This window comes from Homo sapiens (genome assembly GCF_000001405.40).
Source record: "Homo sapiens chromosome 16 unlocalized genomic scaffold, GRCh38.p14 Primary Assembly HSCHR16_RANDOM_CTG1".
NCBI classification, from domain to species: Eukaryota; Metazoa; Chordata; class Mammalia; order Primates; family Hominidae; genus Homo; species Homo sapiens.
The window spans coordinates 1,417,514-1,436,548 of record NT_187383.1 but is presented as its reverse complement, the minus strand read 5'-3'; the positions used below and the strand labels follow the sequence as shown (position 1 = coordinate 1,436,548).

Sequence of the window (19,035 nt, the reverse complement as noted above, 5' to 3'; positions counted from 1 at the left end):
ATGTGCATAACAGTAATATGTCAATTGTGAACCTGTTTCTAAAAAGGCAGAATAAAGAAAAACTTACAGTGATTTTCAAAGTGGGGGAATTTATTTTCTTAATTTATGTAGTTTTTTTTATATGGAGTCTTGCTCTGTAGCCCAGGCTGGAGTGCAGTGGCACAATCTCGGCTCACTGCAACCTCTGCCTCCCAGGTTCACGCAATTCTCCTTCCTCAGCCTCTCAAGGAGCTGGGGTTACAGGCTCCCACCACAACGTCTGGCTAATTGTTGTACTTCTGACCTCAGGTGATCCACCCACCTCACCCTCCCAAAGTGCTGGGATTACAGATGTCAGCCACCGTGTCCGGCCATAGATTTTTTTTTTTTTTTAAACAGGGTTTCACTCCTGTTGCCCAGGCTAGAATGCAATGTTGCAATCTCGGGTCACTGCAACCTCCACCTCCCAGGCTCAAGTGATTCTCATGCCTCAGCCTCCCAAGTAGCTGGGATTACAGGCATGTGCCACCATGCCCAGCTAATTTTTGTATTTTTAGTGGAGATGGAGTTTCACCACATTGCCCAGGCTGGTCTCAAACTCCTGGGCTCAAGCAATCCATCTGCCTCAGCCTCCCAAAGTGCTGGGATTACAGGTGTGAGCACTGCACCCCATGCCTATGTTTTTAAATGCTGTGTTGCTTCAGTAAAAGTGAGAGTTGAAGTTAATTTTTTGCTTAAAAATGTCTTTGTGTCTGCACATCATGGCTCACATCTGTAATCCCAGCACTTTGTGAAGACAGGGCAGGTAAATCACTTGAGCCCAGGAGTTTGAGACTAGTCTATGGACTATACATTCAACCATACTGCAAACACTGCAGATATTCAGGGGCTCAGACTTGCAATTCTGGGCCTCCCTCAGGACCTGGACAAGTTTCCCAGCACAGACCCTGAGGGTAGGACTGTCATAACAGTCCCCTGATACAGGTTTCCTTTGCCAAGAAGACCCTTAACCATGTTATAAAGGCATTTTATTTTATTTTATCTTTGAGGCAGGGTCTGACGTGGTTGCCTAGGCTGGAGTGCAGTGGTGCGATCGCGGCTCACCGCAGCCTCGACTTCTCTGGGCTCAAGTAATCCTCCTACTTCAGCCTCCCAAGTAGCTGGGACCACAGGCACGTGCCACAAGCTAATTTCATTTTTGTATTTTTTAATAGAGATGGGGTTTTGCCCCGTCACCCCACCGCTGCCCCTACAAGTGCTGGCTCCCCCAAGCTGCAAGAAAGGTGATCACATAGATCGCTCAATTATGTCTTCCCAAGTGACTGTGTAACCTCTTTACACAACTTCTACATTAAAGCTCCTCCTGTTTTTGTGTGTTCAACGTACAGACACACAGACAAACACTTGTCTTACAAAAATGGATTTGTACTAAATATACAACTTTGCTGTGCCTTCTTTTTCTTTTTTTAAGAGATGAGGGTCTCGCTCTGTCGTCCAGGGTGGAGTGCAATGGTGCAATCATAGCTCACTGCAGCCTTGAACTCCTGAGCTCAAGTCATCCTCCCACTTCAGCTTCTCCAGTAGAGGGGACTATAGGTCTGCACCATCACACTCAGCTAATATTGTTATTTTTCGTAAAGACAGAGTCTTCCTATGTTGCCTAGGCTGGTCTTGGACTCCTGGCCTCAGGTGATCCTCCCACCTCAGCTTCCCAAAGTGTTGGAATTACAGGTATGAGCCACTGCGCTCAGCTGACTATGCCTCTTTTCTTTAAACTTGGCCATGGGCTGGGTATGGTGGCTCACACCTGTAATCCCAGCGCTTTGGGAGGCTGAGGTAGGTAGATCACTTGAGGTCAGGTGTTCCAGACCAGCCTGGCCAACATGGTGAAACCCTGTCTCCATTAAAAATTAAAAAAATAAAAAAATAAAATAGCTGGGCATGGTGGTTAAAAGGGGTCAGGTGTAGTGACTCATGCCTGTGATCCCAGCACTTTGGGAGGCCAAGGTGGGAGAATCACTTGAGACCAGGAGTTTGAGACCAGCATGGACAACATAGTGAAACCCCATCTCTACAAATAATAAAAAAATTAGCCAGGCGTGCTGAGGCAGGAGGAGGATCACTTGAGCCCAGGAGGTTGAGGCTGCAGTGAGCCATGATCACGTCACTGCACTCCAATCTTATGTTCACCTCATAAAAGTCAAAGAGGATTTTGATTAAATTATATATGTGATCCTGAATTTGAAACTTAGTAAACTAGGGTAGATTAATGTACTTAGTGGGATAAAAAAAATTATCTAACTGGCCAGGCACGGTGGCTCACCCCTGTAATCTCAGCACTTTGGGAGGCCGAGGCAGGTGGATCACTTGAGGCCAGGAGTTCGAGACCAGCCTGGCCAACTTGGTGAAACCCCATCTCTACTAAAAATCCAAAAATTAGCCAGGCATGCTGGCAGGTGCCTGTAATCCCAGCTACTCAGGAGGCTGAGGCAGGAGAATAGCTTGAGCCCAGGATGTGGAGGTTGCAGTGAGCTGAGATTGAGCCATTGCACTCCAGTTTGGATGACAGAGCGAGACTTCATCTAAAAAAAAAAATCCTAACTGAAACCCACTGTAAACATTAGGGACAAAATGAGAATTTCTACCATCACTGTTATTACTTAGCCTAATTCCAAACATTCTCTAGCCCACACATTAAGAAAAATAAGAGACATAAAATCTTGGAAAGAAACAAAATAATTTTTTGCAACACAACAGCATGTTTATAAAACCCAATAGCATCAACTGAAACATTACTAAATTAATAAGAATTCAATAAAGTGGCAAAGAAGTTAACACATGAAAGTCAATAGTAAAAAAGAAAAGTCAATATTTTTCCTTTCTTATACAAGCAATAACCAATTAGAAAAACTTAACAGACAGCCAGGTGTGGTGGCTCACATCTGTAATCCTGGCAGTTTTCAAGGCTGAGGTAGGCGGATCATTTGAGGTCAAGAGTTTGCGACCAGCCTGGCCAGCAAGGTGAAACCCTGTCTCTACTAAAAATACAAAAAATTAGGTGGGTATGGTGGCAGGTGCCTCTAATCCCAGCTACCCAGGAGGCTGAGGCAGGAGAATCACTTGGACCTGGGGGGCAGAGGTTGCAGTGAGCCAAGACTGCACCACTGTACTCCAGCCTGGGCGACACAGTGAGACTCTGTCTCAAAAACAAACAAACAAACAAACAAAACCTAACAGAGAAACAATACCTTTCACAATAGCAACAAAAATACATTTCTAGGGATAAAATTAATACAATTAAGCAGAAAACTATTAAACTTTACCGAAGAACAGATGTGATTTCATTTTCTTTCATTGATTCGAATTTTTTTTTTTTTTTTTTATGAGACAAGGTATCATTCTGTTTTCCAGGATGGACTGCAGGGGCTCAATCACAGCTGACTGCAGCCTCGACCTCTTGGGCTCAAGCAAGCCACCTCAGCCTCCTAAGTAGCTGGGACTAAAGGTGTGAGCCACTGTCCCTGGCCCTATTTCCTCAAAATAAAACAAAATCAGCCAGCTGCAGTGGCTCACGCCTGTAATCCCAACACTTTGGGAAGCTGAGGCGGGTGGATCACTTGAGGTCAGGAGTTCGAGAACAGCCTGGCCAACATGGTGAAACCCTGTCTCTACTAAAAATATAAAAATTAGCTGGGTGTGGCGGTGGATGCCTGTAATCCCAGGTACTCAGGAGGCTGAAGCAGGAGAATCGCTTGAACCTGGGAGACAGAGGTTGCAGTGAGCCAAGACTGTGCCACTGCACTCCGGCCTGGGCTTCAGAGCGAGACTCCCTCTCTAAATAAATAAATACATAAAATAAAACAAAATCACACTGTGAAGCTTCACTGATTATTAAAAAAATCACACGGACACACAAGTCACATTTGAAATGGAATTGCTCTAATTCAGTCTGCTGAACCACTTCTGCAGTACCTGTGTTTCTCTCAAATATAGAAGGGAAAAAATACAACAGAAAATCCCTCAAACGTTCTCATTTTCATATGACTGACATTTGTAGAGTCTCTTTTAGGCTAAAATGACATGGTTGGAAGCCTGTGCCGAATGGCAGTTGGCCATGTCCACAACATGTGAATATTTTCATTTGCTTTAATGTGGAATTCAGAACATGACCCAGTTGAATCCTTAAAAATGCCTATAAAATTCCTAAGTTTCTCCAAGAGACTCTTCCTTTGAAATGCTTGCATTCTTGGCCGGACGCAGTGGCTCATGCCTGTAATCCCAGCACTTTGGGAGGTTGAGGCAGGCGGATCATCTGAGGTCAGGAGTTCAAGACCAGCCTGGCCAACATGGTGAAACCCTGTCTTTGCTAATAAAAATTAGCTGGGTATGGTGGCACATGCCTGTAATCCCAGCTACTTGTGAAACTGAAGCAGGAGAATCGCTTGAACCCAGGAGGCAGAGGTTGCAGTGAGCTGAGATCATGCCATTGGACTCCAGCCTGGGCAACAAGAGTGAAACTCCATCTCAAAAAAAAATGCTTACATTCTTGTAGCCCAGCACCAAGCAACAAACAAATTATATCGTAAAGAAACTTCTACAATAGCAGCAACAGACATTTCCAAACAGGTGGATTGTTTTGAGTCCCACAGACCAGTGGCAAGTCACATCTATTTTTGCATTTATATATACACACATATATTTTAAATAAAAATAGAGATGGGGCTGGGTGTGGTGGCTCACATCTATAATCTCAGCACTTTTGCTGGAGGTGGAAGCAGGAAGATCGCTTGCGGCCAGGAGCTGAAGACCAGCCTGGGCATCATAGTGAGGAGACCCCATCTCTTAAAAAAGAAAAAAAAAAAAGAGAGAGAGAGAAAGAGATGACTGTGCATGGTGGCTGATGCCTGTAATCCCAGTACTTTGGAAGGCCAAGGTGGGCAGATCACCTGAGGTCAGGAGTTCAAGACCAGCCTGGCCAGGATGGTGAAACCCTGTCTCTACTAAAAATACAAAAATTAGCCTGGCGCAGTGGCTCACACCTCTAATCCCAGCACTCTGAGAGGCCGAGGCAGGTGGATCATGAGGTCAGGAGTTCAAGACCAGCCTGGCCAGGATGGTGAAACTCTGTCTCTACTAAAAATACAAAAATTAGCCGGCGTGGTGGTGGGTTCCTGAAAAACCCCAGCTACTCAGGAGGCTGAGGCAGAGAATTGCTTGAACCTGGGAGGTGGAGTTTGCAGTGAGCCGAGATCACGCCACTGTACTCCAGCCTGGGCGACAGAATGAGGCTTCATCTCAAAAAAATATACATATATACACGCAAAAATTAGTTGGCCATGGTGGTGCATGCCTGTAGTCCCAGCTGCTCAGGAGGCTGAGGAAGGAGAATTGCTTGAACCCAGAAGGTGGAGGTTACAGTGAGCTGAGATCGCACCATTGCACTCCAGCCTGGGCAACACAGTGAGACTGTGTCTCAAAAAAAAAAAAAAAAGAGAGAGAGAGAGAGAAGGCCTCATTCTGTTGCCCAGGCTGGTCTCCAACTCCTGGCCTCAAGCTGTCCTCTTGCCTCAGCCTCCCAAAGTGCTAAGATTATAGGTGTGAACCATTGCATCTGGGCATAAGTCTCACGTAAAAGTTCAGGCAGGCTGTGGCAGTGTGGCATAAAGCTGCAATTCCTGGATTGTTTTCATTGCTTTCTACCCAGAACATAAACTTTCTGGTAAACTTGAGTCCTGAAACACTCAGAATACCAACTTCCCTTCTCCAGTCCCAAAATAAACCCCAAACTCACAGGATTTAAGCAAGGCAGCAGTCAAAAAGGCCTCTATTTATGTCAAACAACTCACCGTCTCTGAGAATGAAGGTCAAGTGCTTCCAAAGTATTAACCAATTGCTTTTAAAAGTAGTAGTTGGCCAGGAGCGGTGGCTCACACCTGTAATCCCAGCACTTTGGGAGGCCGAGGCGGGTGGATAGAGTACGAGACCAGCCTGGCCAACATAGTGAAACCCCATCTCTACTAAAAACACAAATTAGCCAGGCATGATGGCGGGTGCCTGTAATCCCACCTACTCAGGAGGCTGAGGCAGGAGAATCACTTGAACCTGGGAGGTGGAGGTTGCAGTGAGCTGAGATGGCCGTCACTGCCCTCCAGCCTGGGCAACAAGAGCGAAACTCCAGCTCAAAAAAAAAAAAAAAAAGAAAGAAAGAAAGAAAAAAAAAGTAATAGTCAAAATGTCATAAGATGTTTTCTTTTCTAAACTAAAAGTAGTCCAAGATGAGCCAACTAAGAGGATTATCATGGAAAGTAAAATAAGCCAGGCACAGTGGCTCATGCCTATAATCCCAGCACTTTGGGAGGCTGAGGCAGGAGGGCTGCTTGAACCCAGGAGTTTGAGACCAGCCTGGGCAACAGTGGGAAACTCTGTCTCTACGAAAAATACAAAAATTGGCCGGGCTTGGTGGCTTATGCCTATAATCCCAGCACTTTGGAAGGCCAAGGCAGGTGGATCACCTGTGGTCAGGAGTTCGAGACCCACCTGACCAACATGGAGAAACCTCGTCTCTATTAAAAATACATAATTAGCCAGGCATGGTGGCACGTGCCTGTAGTCCCAGCTACTCGGAAGGCTGAGGCAGGAGAATCGCTTGAACCCAGGAGGTGGAGGTTGCGGTGAGCCGAGATCATGCCATTGCACTCCAGCCTGGGCAACAAGAGCTAAACTCCATCTCAATAAAAAAGAAAGAAAAATGCAACAATTAGCCAGGCACGGTGGCACATGTCTGTATTACCAGCTACTCAGGAGGCTGAAGTGGAAGGATCAACTGAGCCCAGGAGGCAGGGGTTGCAGTGAGCCAAGATCATGCCACTGCATGCCAGCCTGGGTGAAACAGTGAGACTCTGTCTCAAAATAATAAAGAAAAAGAAAAAAAAAGAACATAAAATATTTCTTCGAAGCAATTTTCGTGATGCTAGGATTAATTCCTATAACCAATGCCTGGGCTGCATGATGCAAACTTGGGCCACCCTGCACCTCATCCCCTTTCCCCTCCTTGATGGAATTTGGAGGCGACTGGTTAAAAACTCAAATTGATGGAGTTGAAGAGGGAAGGAAGAGGAGGGTATTCCAGGCACAGGATGGTCTCCCAGCCCCAGCATTGGGGCATGGTCTCTCCTGTGTTCTCCATTGAAGCACCCCTTCCACTTCCCACTTGAATCCCCCACTGACCCAAGGGCCCCGCAGGCAGGGCTTGTGGCACCTCTGGCACCCAGCACAGTGCCAGGCACAGGTGGGCTTATGAGGATCTGCCAAATGGGAGAGGAGTCCAGATACCCAGGAATGTGGCAGGGGGACACACAAGCAAAGACTCTGGTTATTCAAATATTTAATGGGAGTGAATTGACATCTTTGATTTCCTTTGAAATTGCATCACAAATAAGACAGACTGATATTAGCCATTAATTTCATTCTCTTTTTTTTTTTTTTGAGACAGTTTCACTGTTGCCCAGGCTGGAGTGCAGTGGCACAATCTCAGCTCACTGCATCCTCTGCCTCCTGGGTTCAAGCGCCTCTCTCATGCCTCAGCCTCTTGAGTAACTGGGATTACAGGCAAATGCCACTATGCCCAGTTAATTTTTTTTTTTTTTTGAGATGGGATCTCACTCTGTCACCCAGGCTGGAGGGCAGTGGCATGCATGATCTTGGCTCCCTGCAACCTCCACCTCTACCTCCCAGGTTCGAATGATTCACCTGCCTCAGCCTCTCCAGTAACTGGGATTACAGGTGTGCACCACCACGTCCAGCTAATTTCTGTACGTTTGGTAGAGACAGGGGTTTTACCATTTTAGCCAGCCTGGTCTTCAACTCCTGAGCTCAAGTGATCTGCCTGCTTCAGCTTCCCAAAGTGCTGTGATTACAGGCATGAGCCACTGTGCCCAGCCTTTAGCCATTACTTTCAATGGCAAAAACTGCAATTACCTTCAAACCAACCTAACAGACACAAGAATACACAGATGGACAAATATGTCAGGAAGCAATGCTGATAGTATGTTCTTGGAAGAAGTGAGTACACAGGGGTTTGCTAGAAAATTCTTAAAATTTTTTGAAAAGTTTGGAAATTTTCATAATAAAATGTTAGAGAAAAAACTTTAGCTATTCTTCCAAAGACATAACCTAAACTGGATACATGATTTAAGAAAAAAATACGCTATTAATAAAAGAGGATGTAAGTTTTAAATTTCAAAGCATATCCATGACAGACACTTCTGACGCTTCCCCTCCAGCTCTGAAACCACCCCGGTGCCCTGTGGAGGACCAGCACCAGGAAACACACATTCCATAGGTGACTCAAGGTTTCCAAATCCAGGGAGCTATTTTCCAACTGAGTTTCCCCTGGGGCCCACCTACTTTTTGAGAAGTCTCATGCCCACACTGAAAAAGCACGTAAACCCTTCTTTGAACTGTCTCAAAGTTATTTCTCCTTAAAAAGAAGCATTTCACTTAGGGTTTGGTTTTGTTTTTGTGTTTTTTGAGACAGGACTTCTTTCTGTTGCCATTACTGCAGTCTCGACCTCCCTGGCTCAAGTGATCTTCCCACCTCAGCCTTCTGAGTAGCTGGGACTACAGGTGTGCACCACCATGCCCGGCTAATTTTCCTATTTTTTGTAGAGATGGGGTTTCACTAAGTTGCCCAGGCTGGCCTTGAACTCCTGGGCTCAAGCGATCCCCCACCTCAGCCTCCTGAGGAGCTGGGATTACAGGCATGAGGCAAGAGGGGCATTTCTTTCATAGTTAGATCTCCATTTTTGGAGATGTATTGCAATTCTGAGGGATGGTGTTGTTGGCTTTCACCTTGCAGAAATCGATTCCAAAATTGAGTTATGGAGAATGATATGATAAAGTGCCTTCAAAATTGACCTAGGAGCCAGGCACAGTGGCTCACATCTGTAATCCCAGCACTTTGGGAGGCCAAGGCGGGCAGATTACTTGAGACCAGGAGTTCAAGACCAGCCTGGGCAACATGATGAAACCCTGTCTCTACAAAAATAATAATAATAATAATAATAATTAGCCAAGTGTGATGGTGCACACCTGCAATCCCAGCTACTCAGGTGGCTGAGGCACAAGATTCGCTTGAACCCAGGAGGTGGAGATTGCAGTGAGCTGAGATCTCGCCACTGCACTCCAACCTGGGTGAGAGAGGGAGACTCTGTGTCAAAAAAAAAAAAAAAAAAAAAAAAAGAAATACAACCTTAAAAGGAGACTGGTGTGTTACTTTGTTTTAATTTGGATTTTTCTGTTTCAGTTTGTCACCTCCAGCTAGGAAACAGACTGCAGTCCAACGTAAGTACAGTGCACAGAATCTCTGTGTGTGCATAGTGGCCTCCCCTTACAGGGTCAATTTTGGCCTTTGGCCTTAATCCCGAAGTATTTGCGTATGCTTTTTGTTCCTTGGCAAATAAATGAGAAAATAATTAGCCAACATTGGAAAGGTATTGTCCTAACAATGTCCTTAGGAAAATTATGGTGACTCACTAAAATATCCTTGCTCAATGTCTGTTCAGTTGAATTTAATAACATATCTTGCTAATGTTTGCATGTCTATGAAATGTGACTATGCGGAATTACTGAAAATTAACTATAAAATCCAAGGCATCTAACTTTTAAACTTATCTTGGTTCATCACATATATTTACACTAGATTTTATACTGTCTTCATTTGTTTTTTTTTTTTTTTTGTCTGTTTGTCTGTTTTGAGACAGAGTCTTGCTCTGTCAGCCGGGCTGGAGTACAGTAGTGTGATCTCGGCTCACTGAAATGTCCAGCTCCCGGGTTCAAGCAATTCTGTCTCAGCCTCTGAGAAGCCAGGATTACAAGTGTGCACCACCATGTCCGGCTATTTTTTTTATTTTTAGTAGAGACGGGGTTTCACCATGTTGGCCAGACTGGTCTCGAACTCCTGACCTCAGGTGATCCACATGCCTCAGCCTCCCAAAGTGTTGGGATTATGGGAGTGAGCCACTGTGCCCGGCCTCACAAATGCCTTTTTGTTCAACACTGCAGATATTTCCCAACAAATGGGCTCATCCCTTCCAGTCTAGCACCTCACTCAACCCCAAAGCTGATGGTTCTCTCACTTCCCAAAGTTGGGGCTGCCACACCCCAGTCTAGAACCCTATCTAGCCTCTGTGCAGATAGGGTTCGTACCCAGGTACCTCTTCATACCCTGGATGTATGAAGGATCTCTGGCTCAGAGGCTTCTGGAAGGTGTGCTGCTCCCACTTACTCTGTGTTCTGATAGACGCCCACTGAGATGTTCAGCCCCTCCAGCTCTTCCTTGAGCATCTGCAGGTCTGAGTTGACGAAGCTCAGCTCCAGCCGCACTTGCTCCCGCACCTTTGGGTTTGCGGCCACTCTGTTCAAAGAGAAGAGGGAGAGAAGTGCCCTCAGCCAGGTATCCCAGCTTCTGGGTGAGCAGACCCAATCCCCAGTCCCTGCAGGGAGGATCAGGGCACGGCTTGCAGAGGAGGGCCGGGAGTGTCGGGTAAGGTATCCCACGGACACAGAGCACCTGCCCAGCTTGCAGCACACCTGCCAGTACGTGGAGCTGGGGACACAGGCAATGACACTGTGAGCTGCAGACATGAACTCTATGACATCCTACAAAAACTCTGTCTTGAGAAGAGAAAACAAAACTGCTCCTAGCCATGCCCTAAAATACCGTAAGATATCCACTTGAAAAGAAATGAATGATTCGGGTCAGGCGTGGTGGTTCACATCTGTAATCCCAGCACTTTGGGAGGCCGAAGCAGGTGGATCAGCTGAGGTCAGGAGTTCGAGACCAGCCTAGCCAACATATAGTGAAACTCTGTCTCTAATAAAAAACACAAAAACTAGCTGGGTGTGGTGGCGCACGCTTGTAGTCCCAGCTATGCAGAAGGCTGAGGCTTGAACCTGGGAGATAGGGGTTGCAGTGAGCTGAGATTGTGCCACTGCACTCCAGCCTGGGCAACAGAGCAAGGCTCCCTCTCAAAAAAAAAAAAAAAAAAAAAAGAATGATTCCTTTCGGTAGGAGAAATCCAAATAAATAAATAAATAAACATAAAATTTGTTTTAAAAAAAGAAAGAAATGGATGATTAGCTGGGCATGGTGGTGCATGCCTATAGTCCCAGGCAGGAGGATCGCTTGAGTCCAGGAGGTTGATACTGCAGTGAACTATGATCACACCACCGCAATCCAGCCTGGGTGACAGGGCAAGACACTGTCTCTAAAAACTAAAATAAGATAATATGAAATTATATATATATATATATATGATAGTAAAATAAAATAAATGAATGAGAAAATGAAGGGAGAGGTAATGCTTCCCAATTCATTCTGTAAACTAGTATTAGCAACCCAAGCCTAGCAACATATAAATAGGATTATACACCATAACTAAGTGGGATTTATCCCAGGAATGCAAGGTAGGTTTAACATCTGAAAATCAATATAATATATTATATTAACAGAATAAAGGACAAAAAACACATGGTGACTTCAACAGATATTGGAAAAACTATATGACAAAATCCATCACAGATTCATAATAAAAATTCTCAACAAAGTAGAAATAAAAGAGAATTTATGAAATCTGATAAAAGACACCTATAAAAACCCACAGTTAACATCACACTTTGTGGTGAATGACTGCTTTCCTCTTCTCACCACAAACAAGGCAAAGATGCCCACTTTTGCTATTTCTAATCAATGAGGCAAATAAAGAAATTAAAGGCATCCAGATTAGAAAGGAAAAAATAAAACTGTCTTTATTTACAGATGGCATTATCTTATATATAGAAAATCCTAAGGCATCCATAAAATAAATATTAGTACTAATAAATTTAGCAAGGTCACAGGGTATAATCAATATACAAAAATCAATTCTTTTTTTTTTTTCTCTAGACAGGGTATCACTCTGTCACCTAGGCTGGAGTGCAATGCCACCATTATGGCTTACTACAGCCTCAACTTCCCAGGCTGAAGCCATCCTCCAGCCTCAGCCTCCCAAGGAGCTGGAACTACAGGTGCACACCACCACGCTGGCTGATTTTTGTATTTTTTTTGTAGAGATGGAGTCTCACTATGTTGCCCAGGCTGGCCCAGAAATCCTGGGCTCAAGCAATCTTCCTGCCTCAGCCTCCCAAAGTGCTGAGATTACAGGCATGAGCCACTGTGCCTGGCCAATTCAATTTCTATATAATAGCACTGAACAATCTTGAAACTGAGAAAACCATTCCATTCACAATAGCATCAAAAAGAATAAAATACTCAGGAATAAACAAAAGAATCACAAGACATGTAAACTGAAAACTACAAAACAATGCTGAGATATATTAAAAGAAGAGCTATTCCATGTTTACGGATGGGAAGGCTCATTATTGTCAAGATGTCAAGCCTCCTTAGTTGGTACATTCATTCAATGCAACCTCAATCAAAATCCCAGTAACCTTTTTAATAAAACTCGGCAAGCTGAATGGAAATGCAAAAAAAAAACCTACAATAGGCAAAATAATTTTGAAAAATAAGAACAGAGTTGGAAAACATATTGATTTTAAAATTTACTAAGAAGCTGGGCTGGGCATGGTGGCTCATGTCTGTAATCCTAGCACTTTGGGAGGCTGAGGCGGGTAGATCACCTGAGGTCAGGAGTTCGAGACCAGCCTAGTCAACACAGTGAAACCCCATCTCTACTAAAAATACAAAAAAATTAGCCAGGTGTGGTGGCAGACGCATATAATCCCAGCTACTCGCGAGCCTGATGCAGGAGAATCACTTGAACCTGGAAGGCAGAGGTTGCAGTGAGCCAAGATCACACCACTGCACTCCAGCCTGGGCAACAAGAGAGAAACTCCATCCCCAAAAAGAATAAAAAATAAAAAATAAACTTACTAAGAAGCCATAGTCATCAAGATAGCATGGTACTGACATAAAAATAGGCAATTAAACAGAATAAGAGTCCAGGAATAGGCCAGGTGTGGTAGCTCATGCCTGTAATCCCAGGACTTTGGGAGGCCAAGACGGATGGATCACGAGGTCAGGAGATCGAGACCATCCGGGCTGACATGGTGAAACCCCGTCTCTACTAAAAATACAAAAAAAAAAATTGTATTTTTAGTAGAGCGTGGTGGCGGGTGTGGTGGTGGGCACCTGTAGTCCCAGCTACTCAGGAGGCTGAGGCAGGAGAATGGTGTGAATCCAGGAGGCGGAGCTTGCAGTGAGCTGAGATTGCACCACTGCACTCCAGCCTGGGTGATAGAGCGAGACTCCATCTCATGAAAAAAACAACAAAAGAGTCCAGGAATAAATGTTTACATTCATGTAGCAAATCTTTACAATTGATTTTGAACAAAAGTGCCAAATCAATTCAATGTGGAAAAGATTATTGTTTCAACAAATAGTGCTAAAGCAAGTTGACATCCATAGGTACGTCAGGGTCCCTAAAACCACCCCCAAGTTCAGTGTTAATCTAGGAGGACTTGCAAAAGTCATGGCTACGGTTTACTACAGCAAAAGACACAAAGCATAATGAGCAAAGGGAAAGGCATATGGGGTGAAATTGGGAGGAGGCCCGGCCCAGGCTTTTAGGGGTCCTCTCCCAGTGGAATCCCACAGACCATGCTTAATTCTCCCATCAAGGAGTTGTGACAACACACGTAAAATGCCAAGAAAGCCCCCAGAAAGTTCCAATCAGGACTCAGGTCCCACCGGGAGGTCCCTCCCTAGCTGACTTCTTGGGCTCCCTCCCAAAGCGGGCAGAAGGGTCTGGGTGAGGGACCTGAGCCTGGTTTTCACTTTCCTAAGCCCGAGGGTCCTGTTCCTGGCACAAGGCCTTGAGGACGCTTGGGAAGCCAGCCTTCAGGTCCCGCTGTTTTGTTATTTTGCCAAAGTATGTCCCGTCCGTAAGTTTGCCCCCTCGGGTCACTTTCTTCACCTTATCAGCAGGGCCCATCATTCCTGCTGCTTTCCAACAAGATGCCAGAGCATATTTTTAGACCAATGAAGTCGGTGGGACAGTGGGTGGGACCCAGAGAGTGACGGACAGTGAGTCGGCCTGGAGGGTGGGAAGGCAAAGTGAGTTCCGCTCCTGGGACGGGGCTGGGAGGGGACATGGAATGGTCTGTCAGCTATGAGTTTGTGGAAGGCAGAGTCGGTGACTTTCAGCTGACCTGCCTCGGTCTGGAAGATTCCAGTAGAGAAAGGGAGGGCCAGGGGCCTGGAGGCTGGTTCCAGGCCTGGGTGCTGGGCCTGAGAGCATTTCCAAAGCACTGAGCCTGGGACTGAAGGTAATTCACCATGAGCGCTCAGCTGGGGAGGACTGTCTGTGTGCTTCCCCCACCTCCCAGTCCCTCAACTCACCCCCAGTCCCCCCACCTGCCTTAACTCAGGAAAAAGGCCTCCCTCATGAGCACTGGCAGCTGCCTTTGGTGGCATGTCACAGTCACACCCCAGGACACAACACAGAATCTCAGGCTGGCAGGGGACATTTGAGATCAGCCAGCCCAGCCTCTCATTTTACAGCTGGGAATGGGCACAGGATGGCCATGGCTGCCCAAGGTCACAGAGCCTGGGAGGGAGAAGCAGGCACAGTGGAAAAAGTAAGGTCAGGTGAGCCAGGTCTGGGCACTGGGTCCAGGCCTGCCACTCCCCTGCATGCGGCTCAGGGCGATGGCTCAGCCTCTCAGCCTCAGGTCCACAGCCGAAGCAGGCAGAGCAACAGCTGTTTGAGGGGCTGCCTGGGGAGGAGTGGGGCTGGGTGTCCTGTGCGCACAGCGGACACTTCATCAGCCACTCTGTAGGCAGCCAAGCCAGGAGGGCCCTCTGGGCACCTGGGCCTCTCCGCAGGAAGAGGAGCAGGGACCCACTATCCTTTGGGTCAATGAAGGCCTTAAGCAATGGGCTCGAAAATCCCTGATTAGTGACTACCTTCTGTTGCTAGGCAAGATGGGGACAAATACGGGGTCCAGTTCTCCAGCTGTTAAACATCTGTCTCATCAAGAAGATGGGACAGCACATGGAAAATAAATTTCTATGGTTATAATAACTGTCCCAGATTCTCTGTGCAGTAATGGCCGACCTGCTTTCCCTCTTAAAACAAGCAAGAATTTTGGATAAAATAATAACAAAATTACGTTAAAAGCATCAAAGGGCTGCTAAGCTAGTAGGAAACCTCCAGGCCAAGTTTCAGGGGAAAATCAAGAACCTAGGGAGGAGCGCTGGGGCCATTGTTGCCTGTGAGCATTTGCCAACCTGGCAAGTTGGGCTTCGACCTTGGAGGGAGTAGGGGGGTAGACAGAGGTCAAGGTATGAGGAGGCTGATAGGGGATTCACCCCCATATCAAGCTGGGAGCCTGAAAGGCCTCACCTTGGGTGAAGACAGAAGAAGAGATAACCCTGGCCCCTGCCCCCAAACAAGGAATTCATTAGCATTAAAAGGAGTGGGAGGGAAAAAGGAAAGGAAACTCACAGATTCAACCACAAAGAGCCTCTGGCCTCCTGCGGACTTGGACCGCTCACCCATCACAACTGGGAGGCCCGGGGATGGTGGGGCTTCTGTGCACTTGGTTCCAGGTGGTCTGGGCTGTCCATGTGAAAGCAAACACCATCCTCGTGAGAAGGAACCTCTGTCTTTGGCCTCACGGAAACCCCACAGACACCCTTCCAAGGGCCCCAAGAAGCACACAAAGATATCCAAGTCTGAAAGGGAAGAAGGCACCATGAGTAAGAACCAGCAGACAAGCTAGCAGACACCCGCACAGTCTCCCCATATTATTATACAATTACCAAACAAGACACTACGGTACATTTCAAACCATAATAGGAGAGATGGCCCATGTTCGGTGGCCAAGCATAGCACAGAGCTCCTCACTCCTCCAGGAATTCCACTGAAGGGTGGCAAGTTCTGGAGTTCAAGCCACTGGGTAGGCAACAGGAGTGCAAGTGGCCACAGTTCAGGCGCTGTTGGGCAGAGCAGGGGAGGGGGCGCTCCCAAGGAGTCCACTGGGAGACGCAGGCAGGGGGCTTCTCAGGCAGCCTCACCAGCTTCCCTTCACACTGATCCCCTGTAAACGTGTGTCCAGCCTCGATGTAAGAGGAACAGGGAGAAATTGATTTGCTATTCATAAAATGTGCGCCTCTCTGCGCCTGCGCCCGCGCTGTGCGCCTTTGCGAGGGCGGAGCTGCGCTCTCCTCAGCACAGACCCAGATTGCATCGTGAGGGCGAGCTGAGTTCTCCTCTGCACAGACTTCGGAGATACAGCGAAGGCGGAGCAGTGTTTTCCTCAGCACAGACCCGGGCGGGCGGGCCGGGGGCACCGCGAGGGCGGAGCTGCGTTCTGCTCAGCACAGACCCGGGGTACACCTCGAAGGCAGAGCAGCTTTCTCCTCAGCACAGACCTTGGGGACACTGTCTCCCTTTGAGCAGAATAGGTGAATGAATGAATGAGTGTAATCACATGCCCTGCCTTTCCCTGTTTATCAAGCCTGGCATCACTTTAGAATCTCTTGTTAGGATTTATGATACCCAGGCTTTACCTCAGAAGCTGAGAGTGGCACTCAGGTATAAGCATGTTTTTCCAAGCTCCACAGGTATTCCATAGCGCAGCCATGTTTGAGACAGTGGGGTCTAAGAAACATGTAGAACTAATTAGAATCCTGAAGTGTCTGTGATAAAGGTAATAAGCTTTTTGTAAGATTACAGAGGACATAGGTTAAGTTGGAAAGCCTGAGTGTTGAGATTCCTAGGCTCAGGAATTTTAATTTAAGCAAAGTTAAATGTCTTAACTTGCAAAGACATGAATCTGTAGATTCCAGATTAATGGCAGGTGTGAATTGTACAATAGAAACTGATCTAGCCTACGTGCCTTCTTGGACTGGCAGACTATGTTAATCTTTTTATTTTATGACAAGTTCAACATTATTCCCTTTTGTACTGAATTTTAGATTACTGATTTTGGGCACTCCAAGATTTTGGGAGAGACCTCTCTCGTGAGAACCTTATGTGGAACCCCCACCTGCTTGGCTCCTGAAGTTCTTGTTTGTGTTGGACTGCTGGGTTTTAGGAGTTATTCTTTTTATCTGGTAAGAAATATTTTCATTGCTTCACAGACTGGTAGGAGGTGATTAGATGAAGTCACAAATGTGTCTTGCTCTGTTGTCCAGGCTGGCATGCAGTGGCTTGATCTTGGCTAACTGTAGCCTCTGCCTCCTGGGTCAAGTGATCCTCCCACCTCAGCCTCCCGAGTAGCTGGGACTACATGCGCACACCACCATGCCCAGCTAATTTTTCTATTTTTTGTAGTGATGGGGTTTTGCCATGTTGCCCAGGCTGGTCTTGAACTCCTGGGCTCAAGTGATCCTCTTCCCTCGGCCTCCCAAAGTACTGGGATTACAAGCATGAGCCATTGTGCCCAGCCTAGCTCACTTTTTGACCATTGATTTAAAGAAAAATCAGACTTTTCATTATGCTGAAAAAGAAATCTTTATATCTGAATGCCACTGAGAATGCCACTTGATTTCTTTTCCTTTCTCTCTCTACCATTATTAAGCCTTAGTGGGTATCCACCTTTCTCTGAGCATAGGACTCAAGTGTCACTGAAGGATCAGATCACCAGTGGAAAACACAACTTCATTCCTAAAGTCTGGGCAGAAATCTCAGAGAAAGGTATGAATATGAAAGGGTTAAGAATTTGTGGTATTCTAAAATGTGTGTGTCCTGTGGTGGGAGTTTCTCTCCAAATTCCATGGTGTTTTCTCCTGTCAATTCTGTTCTTATTTTCTATCGTTAGTTTCACACCATTTGAGAGGCACTGGAAATTATTAAGAGCATGCACTCAGGTCCTGGGTCTGCTACTACTTAGCTGTGTGGCCTTAGGCAAGTTATTTAACCTCTGTCTCCAATTTCTTTCTGTGTAAAGGGACCCTCAATAATCCCTACCTTAAAAGGTTTTTGAGGGTTAGGGATAATGTACACAAGTGCCTGGTACCTATTTTAATGAGCAAAATAAATGCACTTGTAACTTTTTAGTTACAAGGTTTCCTTTGAGTAAGCAAGCGTGTAAAAACTAGATGTCTTTAGTTACCTTATATTTTATAATTTATCCTGGCAACTTTAGTTCCCTGAAGAGAAAGTAGAAAATTAAATGTCAAATAACATAACATAGGTGATTGTGTTAAATGTCAGAATATTTAAGGAATAATAATGTTGTAATATACAGGCCAGCGTGCATTTGTTGCTTGCTGGAGTAGTCAAGTTTTATTTCTGACAAGTCTGCAGTTCCAGGGAGCCTCTCCCTGGCTGAGTAACTGTCACCCATCCATCTGTAGATGTCAGGGAGAGTTTGCTGTGCATCCCAGTTATCTTAGAATTGGGTAGAAGTTTAGCTTTAATTAGTTTGACCTCGAGTCTAGCAACAAGAGAGGGAACAGGCAACGAAGAGGTAGTGACTGATGTCCCAGCAGCAGGAGACAGGGAGTGTCATTGTCATTCCTGGTCTTCTCACAGTACTCTGAATACAGAGAATGAGGAAGATTAAGGGGCCCTGTCTGCTGACTCCCTGATGATCTCAGACCCTCTCTGCTCTTTCTGGATGGTGACCTGTTAATTCTGGCATACTGTTACTGATAATATATTTATACTTTTCACTGTGATTTGCCCAATTGTTGCTTTAGCTCTGGACCTTGTCAAGAAGTTGTTGGTAGTGGATCCAAAGGCATGTTTTACGACAGAAGAAGCCTTAAGACACCATGGTTTCAGGTGGGTGTGGGACAGTGCCTGCTAGCATAAAATACATGGGAAGCCCTGCTGCATGAGAGACATGAGACAGAGGACAGAAACATATTTACTTTGTTGAATCTGTTTAATTGTTTTAATGTATTGGGGGAGTATCTTGGCAGATGGGTTACAACCTGTTTTTTTTTTCCTTTTTTGAGACAGGTTCTCATTCTGTCTCCCTGGCTGGAGTGCAGTGGCACAATCTCAGCTCACTGCAACCTCTGCCCCCCGGGTTCAAGTGATC

At 46.0% G+C, this 19,035-nt stretch overlaps 1 long non-coding RNA gene and 1 pseudogene across 1 annotated transcript; one reads left to right on the top strand and one right to left on the bottom strand.

Moving 5' to 3' along the window:
• LOC647211 (rhophilin-2-like) overlaps positions 1–16,098 on the bottom strand; it is a 51,164-nt pseudogene extending 35,066 nt beyond the window's left edge.
• A 147-nt stretch (positions 16,099–16,245) lies between these two features.
• Positions 16,246–18,774, top strand: LOC102723841 (uncharacterized). Its single transcript, XR_430586.4, has 4 exons — positions 16,246–16,447; positions 16,961–17,098; positions 17,566–17,681; positions 18,689–18,774. It is a non-coding gene; the product is annotated as an uncharacterized LOC102723841 (long non-coding RNA).
• Positions 18,775–19,035: the final 261 nt, after the last annotated feature.